At 40.4% G+C, this 20,449-nt stretch overlaps 2 annotated features.

Annotated features, from left to right (window-relative positions):
• Positions 403 to 1,217: an enhancer, noted in NCBI's record as "H3K27ac-H3K4me1 hESC enhancer chr8:94050860-94051674 (GRCh37/hg19 assembly coordinates)". NCBI's record gives its function as "activates a minimal SCP1, AML or CMV promoter by ChIP-STARR-seq in naive H9 embryonic stem cells {active_cell/tissue: H9 hESC(naive)}" and the evidence as "EXISTENCE:reporter gene assay evidence [ECO:0000049][PMID:30033119]".
• Positions 19,624 to 19,803: an enhancer, noted in NCBI's record as "active region_27617". NCBI's record gives its function as "activates an Ori minimal core promoter by ATAC-STARR-seq in GM12878 lymphoblastoid cells {active_cell/tissue: GM12878}" and the evidence as "EXISTENCE:reporter gene assay evidence [ECO:0000049][PMID:35858748]".

Raw genomic sequence — 20,449 nt, forward strand, 5'->3', positions numbered from 1 at the left:
AGGTCCTGGTAGGTTTCAAGGAAGCCAGCTTTAATATGGGACACCCCAAATTTAGTACTATCAGAGTACTATCACATTTTAAAGCAGAAAGAAAAGAAGAGAATAAAGTCCTCCTTTATGAGGTTATTTTGTTGTTGTTGTTCTTTAGAAGATGAACCCAAATACTGTGTAATTTATTATTCTTATTGGAATGTATAAATTACTCTTTATTTTTTTCTTTGAAGGTTTTTGTCAAAAACAACTCATGAAAACCATCTAAGATTTTTCTAAGCAGTAGCATTAGGAAACCTTGACAGAAAACTTCCTCCTCTCCCTCTCCCTCTCCCTCTCCCTCTCCCTCTCCCTCTCCCTCTCCGTCTCCCCACGGTCTCCCTCTCCCTCTCCGTCTCCCCACGGTCTCCCTCTATTTCCACGGTCTCCCTCTGATGCTGAGCCGAAGCTGGACTGTACTGCCGCCATCTCAGCTCACTGCAATCTCCCTGCCTGATTCTCCTGCCTCAGCCTGCCGAGTGCCTGCGATTGCAGGCGTGCGCCACCACGCCTGACTGGTTTTCGTATTTTTTTGGTGGAGACGGGGTTTCGCTGTGTTGGCCAGGCTGGTCTCCAGCTCCTAATCGCGAGTGATCCGCCAGCCTCGGCCTCCCGAGGTGCCGGGATTGTAGATGGAGTCTCGTTCCCTCAGTGCTCAATGGTGCCCAGGCTGGAGTGCAGTGGCATGATCTCGGCTCGCTACAACCTCTACCTCCCAGCCGCCTGCCTTGGCCTCCCAAAGTGCCGAGATTGCAGCCTCTGCCCGGCCGCCACCCCGTCTGGGAAGTGAGGAGCGTCTCTGCCTGGCCGCCCATCGTCTGGGATGTGAGGAGCCCCTCTGCCTGGCTGCCCAGTCTGGAAATTGAGGAGCGTCTCTGCCCGGCCGCCATCCCATCTAGGAAGTGAGGAGCGTCTCTGCCCGGCCACCCATCGTCTGAGATGTGGGGAGCGCCTCTGCCCTGCCGCCCCGTCTGGGATGTGAGGAGCGCCTCTGCCCGGCCGCGACCCCGTCTGGGAGGTGAGGAGCGTCTCTGCCAGGCCGCCCCATCTGAGAAGTGAGGAGACCCTCTGCCTGGCAACCGCCCCATCTGAGAAGTGAGGAGCGTCTCCGCCCGGCAGCCACCCCGTCTGGGAAGTGAGGAGCGTCTCCGTCCGGCAGCCACCCCGTCCGGGAGGGAGGTGGGGGTCAGCCCCCGCCAGGCCAGCCGCCCCGTCCGGGAGGGAGGTGAGGGGGTCAGCCCCCCGCCCGGCCAGCCGCCCCGTCCGGGAGGGAGGTGGGGGGTCAGCCCCCCGCCCGGCCAGCTCCCCCGTCCGGGAGGGCGGTGGGGGGGGGGTCAGCCCCCCGCCCGGCCAGCCGCCCCGTCCGGGAGGTGAGGGGCGCCTCTGCCCGGCCACCACTGCTGGGAAGTGAGGAGCCCCTCTGCCCGGCCACCACCCCGTCTGGGAGGTGTGCCCAGCGGCTCATTGAGAACGGGCCATGATGACAGTGGCAGTTTTGTGGAATAGAAAGGGGGGAAAGGTGGGGAAAAGATTGAGAAATCGGATGGTTGCCGTGTCTGTGTAGAAAGAAGTAGACATGGGAGACTTTTCATTTTGCTCTGTACTAAGAAAAATTCTTCTGCCTTGGGATCCTGTTGATCTGTGACCTTACCCCCAACCCTGTGCTCTCTGAAACATGTGCTGTGTCCACTCAGGGTTAAATGGATTAAGGGCGGTGCAAGATGTGCTTTGTTAAACAGATGCTTGAAGGCAGCATGCTCGTTAAGTGTCATCACCACTCCCTAATCTCAAGTACCCAGGGACACAAACACTGCGGAAGGCCTCAGGGTCCTCTGCCTAGGAAAACCAGAGACCTTTGTTCACTTGTTTATCTGCTGACCTTCCCTCCACTATTGTCCTATGACCCTGCCAAATCCCCCTCTACGAGAAACACCCAAGAATGATCAATTAAAAAAAAAAAAAATAAAAATAAAAATAAAAGAAAAAAAAAAAAAAGAAAACTTCCTTGTTTTAAAGTGTTGTTGATCCAGACTGTCAAATAATGACCAACGTTGATATCGAGAAAAGAAGTCTTAAATCACTACATCTACTGCAGTATCAGGTAGGTACCCATAGCCAGCAGCTTCCTTAATATAAGTAAATAACTGAGTGTTTTATCCATAGTCAGCAGCTTCCTTAATATAAGTAAATAACTGGGTGTTGGCTTAAGTCAATTCTCTACAATGTAGCATTGGCATTAAAATTCCCCCCCAAGAAAATCCCCACAGAATTGTCCCAAAGAAACATTTGATCTGTTATGTTTTTAAAGCATGCTGTTCTGGTTTACTACTTTTTCAAAGAATTTCCACTTAAAAAATCAAGGCATGCCATTCTTCTGAGACATGCCTCTGCAGAGAAGCTCATCTTCGTCCTCTTCTAAAAGGCATTCTTTTGGAGAATTTTCGAACTCTGATTCAAGGTATCAATAAATGTCTACTAATAATTTTGTGTAAAGAAGAAAAGCATATTTGAGACTTTGTTTTCCTAAATATTTATTTCAAATACTACATTTTCACAGTGGTTTTAATCCTAATGTCATCCTTAAAATAAATCATTATGTGTACTTCATGTGATCTTTTCAGAATGCAATAAAACAGATTGTTTTTAATGGCTGTTCCAGCAATGAAAAAATATCTGTGTTAGGTGGAAACAACAAATTGATGGTTTTTCAATTCCTTTTAATGGCACGAGGATCTTTGCAACCTGCTGTGAAAAATATTCTCTTAATGATAGGCCTGTGGCACAACTTAAGGAGTCATCAAGAAATAAATGCGCCGCTGTCTGGTTGGCAGCTTGGTGTCCCTTAATTGAAGTGTTATAAGATTCTGTGCAGAGGAAGCCTCCAGGGTTTTGTAGCTAAATGGCACGGACACCTCTGATGAGACATGCAGATGAAGATGTGTCAATACAATCTTCACCAATTTGCTGTAATAGCAGGGACTGATTAATTTTATAACCACGGGTGCTTCTATTAGCTAACCTAAGGAAAGATTTAGACTTTATTAAGCGACTTATTTCTTTTTTTCAAGTGACTACAGCAACATAGTTTATCTCTGAGTGCTACACTGTGGCACATTTTCTAATAAGGATTCTAAATTTATTATTAAAAAAAGGATCATGAGCTTGCCTTGGCTTAGAGGAGGCTTAATGGTAGCAACTTTCTGTGACTGTTAGTGTCTCAAATGCATTTCAGTAAACTTGGAGTTTCTCAAAAATAACTTCATATTTCAAGCAATTGAGTTAGCAGCTCTTATATACATTTTTAATGTGCAAAAAGTTGAAGTAACAGAATAAAAAATTTGTGGCTGTATATTTTTATCCTTCCCTTCATATAAAATTGCTTTAATATTTTATCATAATTGCCCTTGGACAGCTAACATCATTTGGTTACACATAATCAACTAATGCTTTATATTTTAGGGCTTTGTTCAATAAAAAATTAATTATCCTTCATGGGTGGGCAATGTATTTGGAGATTGAGCTACATGATTTTATGCATAAAACAGGCTCTGGTTTATATATTGAAACCAAAATTGCTGTAACATTCACAGTGCAATAAAAATCAGATACAAAGAATCATTTCAAACTTCTGAAATGTGAGCTCTGGGACACACCTTTGTATTTTTTTTAAAAACTATAAAAGGAAATGAAACTGCATTTACTATAAGTTGAATATCCAGTAAATTTTATTTTTTAAAGAAGACTAGGAACCCATTAAATGCAATTATATTCCAGAAGCAATGAGACGACTATTAGTACTATTCTAGAGCTTGGTATTGCAAAGTGTCTATCAATAGATACGTAATATTCAATAACGATTCACATGTTTCTCTTGGGGATGAGGGTGTTTGTAAATGTCCCTTGGAAGAAAGAACATTTATAAATTTCTGTCCCACTCCAGTATTCTCTTCATCCAGGCTTATGTTAGGCTGTAAACTAATGACAGTGATGTTGAAGAGATCTGCTTCTCAAATTTATCAATTTTTTTTGCAATAAGCAGAAGTATTCACCTGCATCAAAAATACACCCAACATTCTGGATCTGTTTTATAATGAGAAAATTTCATGGTTATGATGTGTCTCAATTCATCCCTTCAAACATATTTTAAGGTCCACTTTGATTACGTGGCTTTAAGTGTCCATGTTATAATGTAAGATAAGCAGATACCTTGTAACCTCTAACAATGTAGGAGAGAAAAATATCAGGTAACTGAGAAAGTCAGAGAATAAATCAATAAACTAAAAATGAAACATATTATCCAAGTAATAGTCAAACACTATCCTCAAAATGCTCTGTATCCCAGATCCAGTTTAGTGGAAGTGGGCTCTTTTAGGAATTCAGGGATTGGGTTCAAGTTCTAGCTTTTTCATTAGGTAATATACAATCTTTAACAAATTCCCTAAACTTTTAAGGAACATATTCTCTTAGTAAAACCAGGAGTTGAGTTAAATCATCTTTGAGGTTGCATTTTAATATGTAACTTTATTGTAATAAGTCAGGACTAGGTTAGTACGAAACCTTTGATATTATAAGTATGTTTAATAAAAACCACACTTATACTTCCAAAGATACTGGAAATTTTTAAACCCTTCAGAATGGAACAGATATTAGGGTACTTGTTTTCCATGCCACAAAGATGATCAGAGCGGAGAAAATATAGTATTAGATATGTGATTTGTTAACTTATTTGTGTTTCAGGTGGGGGATGGTGGTGAGAAATTTATACATAATTACTGAAGCCAAGGGATGGGTAGTCATTGGAAGCCATACATAAATGACAGCAGTAGATACTAACCATGACACAGGTGACAAACCAGTGACTGCTTGTAATAATGTGGATATTTTTTATCTCTTTTTACTTAATATGTTTGAAATTCTTCTTAGAATTCCAACCAATCTTAAAGTTAAACATGTATACCTATTTAAACACAAAGAATGCATCAAAGAGTCTAAAATTACACTGAATAAGATATAATTAGAAATGTCAGTTACTTAGAATGTTTGTTCAGTTAGTGAAAGGTTTCAAGTTTTGGGGAAGAATAAAAATGAAGTTTGTGAGGATTCCAAGAAATCGTGGAATGGGGACTTACAAAAACACATGAAATATAATCAATACGTTAAAAATAACATCAAACATTTTAAATTAATTTTTATTTTATTTTATTTTAAGTTCGAAGATACATGTGCAGGATGTGCAGGTTTGTTACAAGTTTGTAAACATGTGCCATGGTGGTTTGCTTCACCTATCAACCCAGTCACCTAGATATTAAGCCCTGAATGCATTAGCTATTTTTCCTGATGCTCTCCCTCCACTCAACCCCTCTACCCGACAGGCCCCAGTGTGTGTTTTCCCCTCCCTATGTCCATGTGTTCTCATTGTTCAGCTCCTACATATAAGTGAGAACATGTGGTGTTTGGTTTTCTGTTCATGCATTAGTTTGCTGAGGATAATGGCTTTCAGCTCCAACCATGTCCCTGCAAAGGACATGATCTCTTTCTTTTTTATGGCTGCATAGTATTCCATGGTGTATATATATATATATATATATATATATATATATATATATATATACCACATTTTCTTTATCCAGTCTATCATCAATGGGCATTTGGGTTGATTCCCTGTCTTTGCTATTGTGAGTAGTGCTGCAATGAACATAACTGTGCATATCTTTATAATAGAATGATTTCTATTCCTTGGAGTATATACCCAGTAAAGGGTTTGCTGGGTCAAATAGTATTTCTGGTTCTAGGTCTTTGAGGAATTGCCACACTGTCTACCACAATAGTTGAGCTAATTTACATTCCCACCGACAGTGTAAAAGTGCTCCTATTTCTCCACAGCCCCATCAGCATCTGTTGTTTCTTGACAGATGAAACAACAGCATCTGTTGTTTCTTGACTTTTTAATAACCACTATTCTGACTGGTGTGAGATGGTATCTCATTATGGTTTTGATTTGCATTCCTCTAATGATCAGTGCTGTTGAGCTTTTTTTCATGTTTGTTGGCCGCATAAATGTCTTATTTTGAGCAGTGTCTGTTCGTGTCTTTTGCCCACTTTTTAATGAGGTTGTTAATTTTTTTTCTTGTACATTTGTTTAAGTTCCTTGTAATTTCTAGGTATTAGACCTTTGTCAGATGGATACATTGCAAAAATTTTCTCCCATTCTGTAGGTTGTCTGTTCACTCTGATGATAGTTTTGTTTGCTGTGCAGAAGCTGTTTTGTTTAATTAGACTCAATTTGTCAATTTTTGCCTTTGTTGCAATTGCTTTTGATGTATTCATCATAAAATCTTTGCCAGTGCCTATGTTCTGATGGTATTGCCTAGATTTTATTCTAGTGTTTTTTAGTTTTGGGTTTTACATTTAATTCTTTAATCCATCTTGAGTTAATTTTTGTATAAGGTATGAGGAAGGGATCCAGATTCAATTTTCTGCATATGGCTAGCCAGTTTTCCCAGCACTGTTTATTAAATAGGGAATTCTTTCCCCATTGCTTATTTTTGTCATTTTTGTGGAAGATCAGATTGTTGTAGATGTGTGGTTTTATTTCTGAGACCACCATTCTGTTCCATTGGTCTATGTGTCTTTTTTTGTGCCAGTACCATGCTGTTTTGGTTACTTTAGGCTTGTGGTGTAGTTTGAAGTTGGGTAGTATGATGCTTCCAGCTTTGTTCTTTTTACTTAGGGTTGTTCTGGCTATAGGGGCTCTTTTCTGATTTCATATGAGTTTTAAAGTAGCTTTTTCTAATTCCGTGAAGAATATCAATGGTAGTTTAATGGAAATAGCATGGAATCTATAAATTACTTTGGGCAGTATGGCCATTTTCATAATATTGATTTTTCCTATCCATGAGCATGGAATGTTTTTTCATTTATTTCTGTCCTCTCTTATTTCTGTGAGCAGTAGTAGTTCTCCTTGAAGAGGTCCTTCACTTCCCTTGTTAGCTGTGTTCCTAGGTATTTCATTCTCTTTGTAACAATTGCGAATGGAAGGAAGTTCATTCATGATTTGGCTCTCTGATTGTCTATTGTTGGTGTATAGGAATGCTTGTGATTTTTGCACATTGATTTTGTATCCTGAGACTTTGCTAAAGTGGCTTATTAGCTTAAGAAGTTTTTGAGCTGAGATGATGGGGTTTTCTAGATATAGGATATGTTATCTGCAAACAGAGACAGTTTGACTTCTTCTCTTTTCATTTGCATATCCTTTATTTCTTCCTCTTGCCTGATTACCCTGGCCAGAACTTCTAATACTATGTTGAATAGGAATGGTGAGAGAAGGCATCCTTGTCTTGTGCCAATTTTCAAGGGGAATGCTGTCAGCTTTTGCCCATTCAGTATGATATTGGCTGTGAGTTTGTCATAAATGGCTCTTATTTTGAGGTGTGTTCTATCAATATCTAGGTTATTGAGAGTTTTTAACATGAAGGGATGTTAAATTTTATCAAAGGCCTCTTCTGCATCTATTGAGAAAATAACGTAGTTTTGGTCTTTATTTCTGTTTATGTGATGAATTGCATTCATTGATATGTGTATGGTGAACCAGCCTTGCATCCCAGGGAAGAAGCCGACTTGATCATGGTGGATAAGCTTTTTGATGAGTGGCTGGATTTCGTTTGCCAGTATTTTATTGAAGATTTTTGCATCGATGTTCATCAGGGATACTGGCCTGAAGTTTTCTTTTTTTGTTGTATTTCTGCCAGGTTTTGGTATCAAGATGATGCTGGCCTCAAAAACTGAGTTAGGGAGGAGTCCCTCCTTTTCAATTGTTTGGAATAGTTTCAGAAGAAATGGCCCCAGTTCCTCTTTGTACCTGTGGTAGAATTCAGCTGTAAATCTGTCTGGTCCTGGGCTTTATTTGAATGGTGGGCTATTTATTACTTCCTCAATTTTAGAACTTGTTATTGGTCTATTCAGGAATTCAACTTCTTCCTGGTTGAGTCTTGGGAGAGTGTAAGTGTCCAGGAATTTATCCATTTCTTCCCGATTTTCTAGTTTATATGCCAGAGGTGTTTATAGTATAATCTTATGGTTTTTTGTATTTCTGAGGGGTCAGTGGTGATATGCCCTTTATCATTTTTTATTGTGTCTATTTGATTCTTCTCTCTTTTATTCCTTTTAGTCTAGCTAGCAGTCTATCTATTTTATTAATTTTTTCAAAACACTAGCTTCTGAATTTGTTGATTTTTTGAAGGGTTTTTCATGTCTCTATCTCATTCAGTTCTGTTCTCATCGTGATTATTTCTTGTTTTCTGCTAGCTTTGGGATTTGTTTACTACTGGTTCTGTAGTTCTTTTAGTTGTGATTTTCGGATGTCGATTTGAAACCTTTCTAGCTTTGAGATCTTTCTAGCTTTAAGAGTGCTAAAAATTTCCCCCATAACACTGCATTAGCTGTATCCCAGAAAGTCTGTACCTTGTCTCTTTGTCCTCATTGGTTTCAAAGAACTTCTTGATTTCTGCCTTAATTTTATTATTTACCCAGCCGTCACTCATGAGCAGGTTGTTCAATGTCCATGTAGTTGTGTGGTTTTGAGTGAGTTTCTTAGTCTCAAATTCTAATTTGATTGTGCTGTGGTCTGAGAGACTGTTCGTTATTATTTCCATCCTTTTGAATTTGCTGAGGAGTGCATTACTTCCAATTATGTGATCGATTTTACAGTAAGTGCCATGTGGTGCTGAGAATAATCTATATTCTATTGTTTTGGCATGGAGAGTTCTGCAGATATCTACCAGGTTCTCTTGATCTGGAGCTGAGTTCACGTCCTGAATATCTTTGTTAATTTTCTGACTTTATTATCTGTCTAATATTGACAATGGGGTGCTAAAGTCTCCCACTATTATTGTGTGGGAGCCTAAGTGTCTTTGTAGGTGTCTAGGTGCTCTTGTATTGGATACACATATATTTAGGATAGTTAACTCTTCTTGTTGAATTGAATGCTTTATCATCATGTAATTCCCTTCCTTGTCTTTTTTGTTCTTTGTTGGTTTAAAGTCTGTTTTGTCAGAAACTAGGATTTCAACCCCTGCTTTTTTCTGCTTTCCATGTGCTGACAGATTTTCCTCCATCCCTTTATTTTGAGCCTATGTGTGTCTTTGCATGTGAGATGGTCTCTTGAATATAGCACACTGATGGGTCTTGACTCTTTGTCCAGCTTGCTATTCTGTGTCTTTTAACTGGGACATTTAGCCCATTTACACTTGAGGTTAATACTGTTATGTGTGAAATTGATCCTGTCATCATGATGCTAGCTGGTTATTTTGCAGACTTGTTGATGTAGTTGCTTCATAGTGTCATTGGTCTGTGTACTTCAGAGTGTTTTTGTAGTGGCTAATAATGGTTTTTCCTTTTCATATTTAGTGCTTCCTTCAGGAGCCCTTGCAAAGCATTTCTGGTGGTGATGAATTTCGTCAGTATTTGCTTCTCTGAAAAGGATTTTATTTCTCCTTCATTTATGAGCTTAGTTTGGCCAGATATGAGATTCTGGGTTAAAAATTCCTTTCTTTAAGAATGTTCAATATCGACCCCCAGTTTCTCCTGGCTTGTAGGGTTTCTGTTGAGAGGTCAACTGCTATTCTGATGGGCTTCCCTGTGAAGGTGAACAGGCCTTACTCTCTGGCTTCCCTTAACAATTTTTTTTTCATTTTGACCTTGGAGAATCTGATGATTATGTGTCTTGGGGTTGATCTTCTCATGGAATAGCTTACTAGGGTCTCTGGATTTTCTGAATTTGAATGTTGATCTGTCTTGTTAGGTTGAGAAAGTTCTCCTGGATGATATCCTGAAGTATGTTTTCCAACTCCATTATGGTGCCCCTGTCTGTCTCAGGTACCCAGATTATTTGTAGGTTTGGTCTTTTTACATAATCCCATAGTTCTTGGAGGTTTTGTTCATTCCTTTTCATTCTTTTTTCTCTAATCTTGTCTGCCTTTCTTATTTCAGCAAGATAGTCTTCAAGCTCTGAAATTCTTTCTTCCACTTGGTCTTTTCAGCTATCAGTACTTGTGGTTGCATTGTGACATTCTTGTGTTGTGTTTTTCAGCTCCATCAGGTCATTTATATTCCTTTCTAAACTGGTTATTCTGGTTAACAGCTTCTCTAATAGTTTATCATGATTCTTAGCTTCTTTGCAGTGTGTGGGAACATGCTCCTTTAGCTCAGTGAAGTTCATTATTACCTACCTTCTGAAGCCTAATTCTGTCAGTTCAGCCATCTCAGCCTCAGCCCATTTCTGTGCCCTTCCTGGAGAGGTGTTGCAATCGTTTGGAAAACGGGCACTCTTCTCCAAATTCTGGCCATGAGCTGCCACAGCCTCTGTGCTTTTTGAATTTTTAGCATATTTTGTTGATTCTTTCTCATCTTCCTTAGTTTATTTAGTTTTGATCTTTGAGGCTGCTAACCTTTGTATGGGGTTTTTGTGGGGACTTTTTTGTTGATGCTGTTGTTGTTGCTGTTTGTTTGTTTTTCTTGTAATGGTCAGGCCCCGCTTCGGTAGGGATGCTGCAGGTTGCTGGAGGTCCACTCCAGACCCTATTAGCCTGGGTCCCTCCTGCACCTGGAGGTGTCACCAGTGGAGTTTGCAGAACAGCAAAGATGGCTGCCTGCTCCTTCCTGTGGGCACTCCATCCCAGAGGGGCACCAACCTGATGCCAGTGGGAATGTTTCTATATAAGGTGTCTGGCAACCCCTGTGGGGGGTCTCACCAATTCAGGAGGCACAGGACCAGGGACTTGTTTAATGAAGGACTCTTGCTACCCCTTGGCAGAAGGGGTGCACTGCACTGGGGGGAATCCCACTTGTGCAGACTGCCTGGTTACCTCAGAGCCAGCAGGGGAAAAACTAAGTTCACTGATCTGCAGAGACACAGCCACCGCTCCCCCTAGGGGCTCAGTCCTAGGGAGATCAGAGTTCTATCTGTAAACCCCAGGCTGGAGGTGCTGAAATTCCCACAGGGATCCCTGCCCAGTGAGGAAGGATGGGTCCAGGCCTGTCCTAAAGACTCAGTCTGACCACGAGCTGCTATGGCCTCTGCTCTGCGCTGTGAGGATTTCCTCCTGGGTCCAATCCACCCAGTCTCCCTGGCATTGGCAGGGCAAAAACAGCAGGCTGGAGCTGCAGTGATGGTTGCCACCCCTCCTGGCGGGGCTCAGTCCTCTTAGGCAGCAGGCAGCTGCAGTGATGATGGCCACCCCTCCCCCTGGGAGCTCAGTCATCTTAGGCAGCTGGCAGCCAAAGTGATGGTGGCCATGTGTTCCCCCAAGGAACTCGGTAGTCTTAGTCAGTCTCCAGCCCAGGGGCCACTGAGAATCTGCACAGCTCTGTGCTTAGGACTCAAGGCCTTGGTGCCATGGGCTCAAGAGCGGATCTCCGGATCTGTATGTTGCACAGATCTGTGGAAAAAGCATGATTTCCTAGGCAGGGTAGCACAATCACTCACAGCCTCCCTTGGCTGGGAGTGAGATCTCTTCTTTCCTCATGCCACTCCTGGGTGGGCCATTGCTCCACCATACTTTTCCTTGCTGTCTGTGGGGCATGCCAACCACCCAGTCAGTCCCAATAAGAGAACCTGGATACTTTAGTTTCCAGTGCAGGATTCTATTCACCATTTTCATTCTTCTCTGTGAGTATGTCTGACTGCAGCTGTTTCTAGTCAGCCATGTTAGCCCCTTCCCAAAATATTTTTTGATAGTATATGCCATTAAAAATAAATGCTGAGATAAATTCACCATATATGGATATTCATATATAAATTACACACATGCACTTCTGAACTCATATACTGTGACCATTACAATAAGTATATTTAAATGAAGCAAAAATAAATCTGAAGAATAGCACTGCTGTTTTCTTTCTGTACCTTAATGAATTATCTTGCACACGCCCTTAGAATGCATTCACTCCATTTTGGATGTTCCTAAAATATTCTGGCAGAGTCAAAAGAAATTTCATAAAAATGAAAACCAATAGAAGACATTGAAGAAAGAAAAGAACATCTGGAAATGAAGAGAAAAGATAATCACAGAGAGAATAACACGTAACGTGAAAACTACCTGGTATAACTGGTAAACTTATAGCCAGTGTGGAAAGGACTAACATATGAAATAATGTGAGTATCACAAGGCAAAATGTGGCATATAATAACACTTAAACATATGAAGCATACTTTCATCATAGAAAGGCTTTACTTGACCCCCACACAGGCTGAGACAGCTTCCTTGTTGGGAAATGTGACTTTAGAGTTGAAAAGTGAAGCCAACAAATTACAGAGAATGCATACTCCAGAGCCAGCAATGATCTTCCAGACCATGAAAGCCAAGAGTACATTTCCACCAGTAATCATTTATGAATGACCGTGTATTATCCTCTCAGGAGTTGGCTTGTTGGACTCTGTGCCTGAGAACAAGATTGTTAATTGTCCTTACAAAGAAATATATGGGTAATTATATAAAACATGTTACAATTTTAATAATAATTTCTAGGCCTACTAAAATACATTTCTTTTGTTAGGTACAGCTAAAAATTATCTGTCTTTATAGAAAGGATTCTTGACTGCTTTGTTGATTAAAGGAAATGTCTCTCCAACCTTGGGTGAATAATTCACGGTGTGATCTTTGGGTTTAACACAGAGCTTGGATCCATTCCATGAATGCTGGATTGAATGAAATGTTAATTAAGCAGGGGTTTATTTGAATTAGGTACTATCTACCCAAGATTTTTTTGGTAGTATTAGACATATTTATATTTGTTTATTTATTATTTAGAAAGGGTCTCATTCTGTCACCCAGGCTGAAGTACAGTGGCACAATCATGGCACACTGCAGCCTCAAGCTCCTGGGCTCAAGTAATCCTCCTACTGAGGATCTGAGCTGAGACTATGGGTGCATACCACCACACTTGACTAATATTTATTTATTTATAGAGACAGGATCTTGCCATGTTGCACAGGCTAGCCTCGTATTCCTGGCCTCAAGCAATCCTGCCATCTCAGCCTCCCAAAGTGCTGAGATTATAGGCATGGGCCACTGTGTCCAGCCAAGCCAAACATTCATGTTTATACCATAGAATTACTTCCCTATTATTATTACTTATTCAAGCCCTATCTAAAGTACTATGACACAAGGTGGTGCAAAGCTTAACTCCCATTATGTCTCCTGAATACACGAGCATCAACAAGGTAAATAAAACCATGGATTTCTGACCATCCTCTTATACAATTTTGTAAGAGAAAAACCTATGATAAATGAAAAGGGACTGTGAGTATGCAAAAGAGGCCATACTTGACAACTACAATTTTAGCATGTGTTCATGGGTTCTGTACCTATTTTTCATTTAAGAAAGTCAACTTAGTATTTTCTTTTTTAAGACATTCATTTCATATTTTTTAGGAGCATTAAAACATGATCTGTAGCAGCAGTTTTCAAAATTTTGGCCTCAAGAATCTTTTACACATTTAAAAATGATGGTGAATACTCATGAGATTTTTCCTATGTGTATGCATCAATTGATAATTACTGCTAAATTCTTATAATATGTGTTTATTAATTTATTTTAAAAGAATAGTGAGCCAGGCATGGAGTCATGAAATAGTAATCCCAGCTATTTGGGAGGCTGAGGCAGGAGAATCACTTGAGCCCAAGAGTTCAAGGATTCAATGTGTTATGATTATGCCTCTGAATAGCCACTCTATTCCAATCTGATAAACAGAGCAAGACTCCATCTCTACAAAAAAAAAAGTAAAAGAATCAATAAATAAATATAATAATAAATCCAATGTATGCTGAAGTGACCATTTTTTTTAACAACCAAGTGGAAGATTAACAGAGAATGGCTTCTTTTTATTATTTTCAATTTCATTAATGTCTGACTCAATACAAGACAACTGGATTCCTGTACATGTGTATGCATTCGATCTGTTGTGCTATGTTAGTTAGTTGAGGTATATGAAGAAAATCTCATCTTACACAGATATGGGAAAAGGGAGAAGTTTTTTTTTAATTATACTTTAAGTTCTGGAATACATGTGCAGGAAGTGCAGGTTTGTTACATAGGTATACATGTGCCATGGTGGTTTGCTGCACCCACCAACCCGTCATCTACATTAGGTATTTCTCCTAATGCTATCTCTCCCCTTGCCTCCCATCCCCAGACATGCCCCAGTGCGTGATGTTCCCCTCCCTGTGTCCATATGTTCTCATTGTTCAACTCCCACTTATGAGTGAGAACTTGCGGTGTTTGGTTTTCTGTGCCTGTATTAGTTTTCTGAGAATGATGGTTTCCAGCTTTATCCATGTCCCCACAAAGAACATGAACTCATTCTTTTTTATGGCTGCATAGTATTCCTTGGTGTATATGTGCCACATTTTCTTTATCCAGTCTAACATTGATGGGCATTTTGGGTCAGTTCCAAGTCTTTGTTATTGTGAATAGTGCTATAATAAACATACATGTGCATGTGTCTTTATAGTAGAATGATTTGTAATCTTTTGGGTATATACCCAGTAATGGGATTGCTCAGTCAAATGGTATTTTTGGTTCTAGATCCCTGAGGAATTGCCACACTTTCTTCCACAATGGTTGAGCTAATTTACACTGCCACCAACCATGTAAAAGTGTTCCTATTCCTCCACTTTCTCTCCAGCATCTGTTGTTTCCTGACTTTTTAATGATGGCCATTCTAACTGGCATAAGATAGTATCTCATTGTGGTTTTGATTTGCATTTCTGTAATGACCAGTGATGATGAGCTTTTTTTCATATGGTTGTTGGCCATGTAAATGTCTTATTTTGAAAAGTATCTGTTCATATCCATCGCCCACCTTTTGATGGGGTTGCTTTTTTCTTGTAAATTTGTTTAAGTTCATTGTAGATTCTGGATATTAGCCCTTTGTCAGATGGATAGATTGCAAAAATTTTCTCCCATTCTGTAGCTTGCCTATACACTCTGATGATAGTTTCTTTCACTGTGCAGAAGCTCTTTTGTTTAGTTAGATCCCACTTGTCAATTTTGGCTTTTGTTGCAACTGCTTTTGGTGTTTTAGTCATGAAGTCTTTGCCCATGTCTATGTCCTGAATGGTATTGCCTAGATTTCCTTTTAGGGTTTTTATGGTTTTATGTCTTATATTTCAACCTTTAATCCACCTTGAGCTAATTTTTGTAAAAGGTATAAGGAAGGGGTCTGGTTTCAGTTTTCTGCATATGGCTAGCCAGTTTTCCCAAAGTTTATTAAATAGGGAATTCTTTCCCCATTGCTTGTTTTTGTCAGGCTTATCAAAGATCTGATGGTTGTAGATGTGCGGTGTTATTTCTAAGGCCTCTGTTCTGTTCCATTGGTCTATATATCTGTTTTTGTACAGCACCATGTTGTTTTGGTTACTGTAGCCTTGTAGTATAGTTTGAAGTCAGGTAACATGATGCCTTCAGGTTTGTTCTTTTTGCTTAAGATTGTCTCGGCTATACAGGCTCTTTTTTGGTTCCATATGAAGTTTAAAGTAGATTTTTCTAATTCAGTGAAGAAAGGCAATGGTAGCTTGATGGGAATAGCATTGAATTCATAAATTACTTTGGGCGTATGGCCATTTTCACAATACCGTTTCTTCCTATCCATGAGCATGCAATGTTTTTCCATTTGTTTGTGTCCTCGCTTATTTCCTTGAGCAGTGGTTTGTAGTTCTCCTTGAAGAGGACCTTCACATCTCTTGTAAGTTGTATTCCTAGGTATTTTATTCTCTTTGTAGCAATTGTGGATGGGAGTTTGTTCATGATTTGGCTCTGTGATTGTCTATTGTTGGTGTATAGGAATGCCTGTGATTTTTGCATTGATTTTGTATCCTGAGGCTTTGCTGAAGTTGCTTATCAGCTTAAGAAGTATTTGGGCTGAGACAATGGGGTTTTCTAAATATACAATCATTTCATCTGCAAGCAGAGATAATTTGACTTCCTCTCTTCCCATTTGAATATGCTTTATTTATTTATCTTGCCTGGTTACCTTGGCCAGAGCTTCCAATATTATGTTGAATGGGAGTGGTGAGGGAGGGTATCCTTGTCTTGTGCTGGTTGTCAAAGGGAATGCTTCCAGCTTTTGCCCATTCAGTATGATATTGGCTGTTGGTTTTTCATAAATAGCTCTTATTATTTTTAGATACATTCCATCAATACTTAGTTTATTGAGTGTTTTTAGCATGAAGAGGTGCTGAATTTTATCAAAGGCCTTTTTGGCATCTATTGAGATAATCATGTGGGTTTGTCATTGGTTCTGTTTATGTGATGGATTACATTTACTGATTTGCAAACTACGCTTGCATCGCAGGGATAAAGCCCACTTGATCATGGTGGATAAGCTTTTTAATGTGCTGCTGGATTCAGTTTGCCAGCATTTTATTGAGGATTTTTGCATGGATGTTCATCAGACATATTGGCCTGAAATTTTCTTTTTTTGTTTGTCTCTGCCAGGTTTTGGTATCAGGATGATGCTGGCCTCATAAAATGAGTTAGGAAAGAGTCCCTCTTTTTATATTGTTTGGAATAGTTTAGGAAGGAATGGTACCAACTCCTCTTTGTACCTCTGCTATAATTCACCTGTGAATCCATCTGGTCCTAGGCTTTTTTTGGTTGGTAGGCTATTAATTACTACCTGAATTTCAAAACTTGTTATTGGTCTATTCAGGGATTCAACTTCTTCCTGGTTTAGTCTTGGGAGGATATATGTGTCCAGGAATTTATCCATTTCTTCTAGATTTTCTGGTTTATTTGCGTAGAGGTGTTTATAGTATTCTCTCATGGTAGTGTGTGGAATCAGTGGTGATATGCCCTTTATCATTTTTATTGTGTCTATTTGATTCTTCTCTCTTTTCTTCTTTATTAGTCTGGCTAGCAGTCTATCTATTTGATTAATTTTTTCAAAAAACCACCTCCTGGATTCATTGATTTTTTTTTTTTTTTTTAATGAGATGGAGTCTCACTCTGTTGTCCAGGCTGGAGTGCAGTGGCACAATCTCAGCTCACTGCAAGCTCCACCTCCCAGGTTCACGCCATTCTCCTGCCTCAGCATCCCGAGTAGCTGGGACTACAGGCACCCACCACCACACCTGGCTAATTTTCTTTGTATTTTTAGTAGAGATGGGGTTTCACCATGTTAGCAAGGATGGTCTCTATCTTGTCTCAGTCTCCTTCAGTTCTGCTCTGATCTTAGTTATTTCTTGTCCTCTGCTAGCTTTTGAATTTGTTTTCTCTTGCTTCTCAAGTTCCCTTAATTGTGATGTTAGGGTGTTTAGATTTTTTCTGCTTTCTCCTGTGGGCATTTAGTGCTATAAATTTCCCAGTAAAAACTGTTTTAGCTGTGAACCAGAGATTCTGGTACTTTGTGTCTTTGTTCTCACTGGCTTCAAAGAACTTATTTATTTCTGCCTTAATTTCATTATTTACCCAGTAGTCATTCAGAAACAGGTGATTCCATTTCCATGTAGTTGTGAGGTTTTGAGTGAGTTTCTTAACCCTGAGTTCTAATTTGATTGCACTGTGCCATGAGAGACTGTTTGTTATGATTTCTGTTCTTTTACATTTGCTGAGGAGTGTTTTGCTTCCAATTATGTTGTTGATTTTAGAATAAGTGCTATGTGGTGCTGAGAAGAATGTATATACTGTTGATTTGGGGTGGAGAGTTCTGTAGATGTCTATTAGGTCTGCTTGGTCCAGAGCTGAGTTCAAGTACTGAATATCCTTGTTGATTTTCTGTCTTGTTGGTCCGTCTAATATTGACAGTGGGGTGTTAAAGTCTCCCACTATTACTGTGTGGGAATCCAAGTCTTTTTATAGGTCTCTAAGAACTTGCTTTATGAATCTGGGTGCTTCTGTATTGTGTGCATATATATTTAGGATATTTAGCCATTCTTGTTGCATTTATCCCTTAACCATTATGAAATGCCCTTCTTTATCTTTTTTAATCTTCATTGGTTTAAAGTCTGTTATATCAGAGACTAGGATTGCCACCCATGGTTTGTCTGGTTGTTGTTGTTGTTGTGGTTGTTGTTTTTTTGCTGTTCATTTGCTTGGTAAATATTCCTCCATCCCTTTATTTTGAGCCTATTTGTGTCTTTGCATGTGAAATGGGTCTCCTGAATACAGCACACCAATGGATCTTGACTCTTCATCCAATTTGCCAGTCTATGCATTTTAATTGGGGCATTTAGCCCATTTACATTTAAGGTTAATATTGTTATGTGTGAATTTGAACCCATCATTATGATGCTAGCTGGTAATTTTGCCCATTAGTTGATGCAGTTTCCTCATAGTGTCAATGGCCTTTATATTTTGGTTTGTTTTTGCAGTGGCTGGTACCAGTTTTTCCTTTATATATTTAGTGCTTCTTCATGAGCTCTTGTAAGGCAGCCTGGTGGTGGCAAAATCCTTCAGCATTTGCTTGTCTGTAAAGGATTTTATTTCTCCTTCACTTATGAAGCACAGTTTGGTTGGATATGAAATTCTGAGTTGAAAATACTATTCTTTAAGAATGTTGAATATTGGCCCCCACTCTCTTCTGGCTAGTAGGGTTTCTGCAGAGAGATCTGCTGTTAGTCCAATGGGCTTCCCATTGTGGGTAACCCTACCTTTCTCTCTGGCTGCGCTTAGCATTTTTTCCTTCATTTCAACCTTGGTGAATCAAACAATTATGTGTCTTGGGGTTGCTCTTCTCAAGAAGTATCTTTGTAGTGTTCTCTGTATTTCCCGAATTTGAATGTTGGCCTGCCTTGCTAGGTTGGGAAAGTTCTCCAGCGTAGTATCCTGAAGAGTGTTTTGCAACTTGGTTCCATTCTCCCCATCACTTTCAGGTACACCAGTCAAACGTAGGTTTGGTCTTTTCACATAGTACCATATTTCTTGGAGACTTTGTTCATTTATTTTCATTCTTTTTTCTCTAATCTTGTCTTCATGCTTTATTTCATTAAGTTGATCTTCAATCTGTGATATCTTTTCTTCTACTTGATTGATTTGGCTATTGACACTTGTGTATGCCTCACAAAGTTCTAGGGCTGTGTTTTTCAGCTCCATCAGGTCATTTATGTTCTTCTCTAAACTGGTTATTCTATTAGCAATTCCACTAACCTTTTATCAGGGTTCTTAGCTTCCTTGCAATGAGTTATAAAATGGTCCTTTAACTCAAAGGAGTTTGTTATTACCTACCTTCTGAAGCCTACTGCTGTCAATTTGTCAAACTCATTCTCCGATCAGTTTTGTTTCCTTGCTGGTGAGGAGCTGTGATCCCTTGGAGAAGAAGAGACATTCTAGTTTTCAGAATTTTCAGCCTTTTTGTGCTGGTTTTTCCTCATCCTCATGGATTTGTCTACCTTTGGTCTTTGCTGTTGGTGACCTTTGGATGGAGTTTTTGCATGGTCATCCTTTTTCTTGATGTTGATGCTATTGCTTTCTGTTTGTTAGTTTTCCTTCTGTCAGGCCCCTCTTCTGCAGGTGTGCTGGAGTTTTCTGGAGGTCCACTCCAGACCCTGTTTGCCTGGGTATTACCAGAGGTGGCTGCAGAACAGCAATTATTCCTACCTGCTCCTTCCTCTGGAAGCTTTGTCCCAGAGGGGCACCCACCAGATGCCAGCCAGAGCTCTCCTGTATGAGGTGTCTGTCGCCCCCTGCTGGGAGGTGTCTCCCCATCAGGAGGCATGGAGTCAGGGACCCACTTGAGGAGGCAGTCTGTCCGTTAGCCGAGCTCCAGCACTTTGCAGGGAGACCCACTGGTGTATTCAGAGCCAGCAGGCAGAAACATTTAAGTCTGCTGAAGCCGCACCCACAGCCACCCCTTCCCCCAGGTGCTCTGTCCCAGGGAGATGGGAGTTTTATCTATAAGCCCCTGAATGGGTCTGCTGCCTTTCTTTCAAAGATGCCCTGCCCAGTGGCTTTGGGTGCTGTGGTGGGCTCCACCCAGTCTGAAATTCCTGGCAGCTTTGTTTACACTGTGAGGGGAAAACCACCTACTGAAGCCTCAGTAACGGTGGACGCCCCTTCCCCTACCAAGCTCAAGTGTCCCAGGTCAACTTCAGACTGCTGTGCTGGCAGTGAGAATTCCAAGCCAGTGGATCTTGGCTTGCTGGGCTCCCTAGGGGTGGGATTCGCTGAGCAAGACCACTTGGCTCCCTGGCTTCAGCCCCCTTTCCAGGGGAGTGAACGATTCTGTCTCACTGGCATTCCAGGTGCCACTGGGGTATGAAAAAAAATTCCTGCAGCTAGCTCGGTGTCTGCCCAAAGGGCCACCCAGTTTTGTGCTTGAAAACTAGGGCCCTTGTGGTGTAGGCACCCGAAGGAATATCCTGGTCTGTGGGTTGCGAAGACCATGGGAAAAGTGTAGTATCTGGGCTGGATAGCACTGTCCCTC

The sequence above is a fragment of the Homo sapiens genome, chromosome 8, assembly GCF_000001405.40.
Source record: "Homo sapiens chromosome 8, GRCh38.p14 Primary Assembly".
Taxonomy (NCBI): domain Eukaryota; kingdom Metazoa; phylum Chordata; class Mammalia; order Primates; family Hominidae; genus Homo; species Homo sapiens.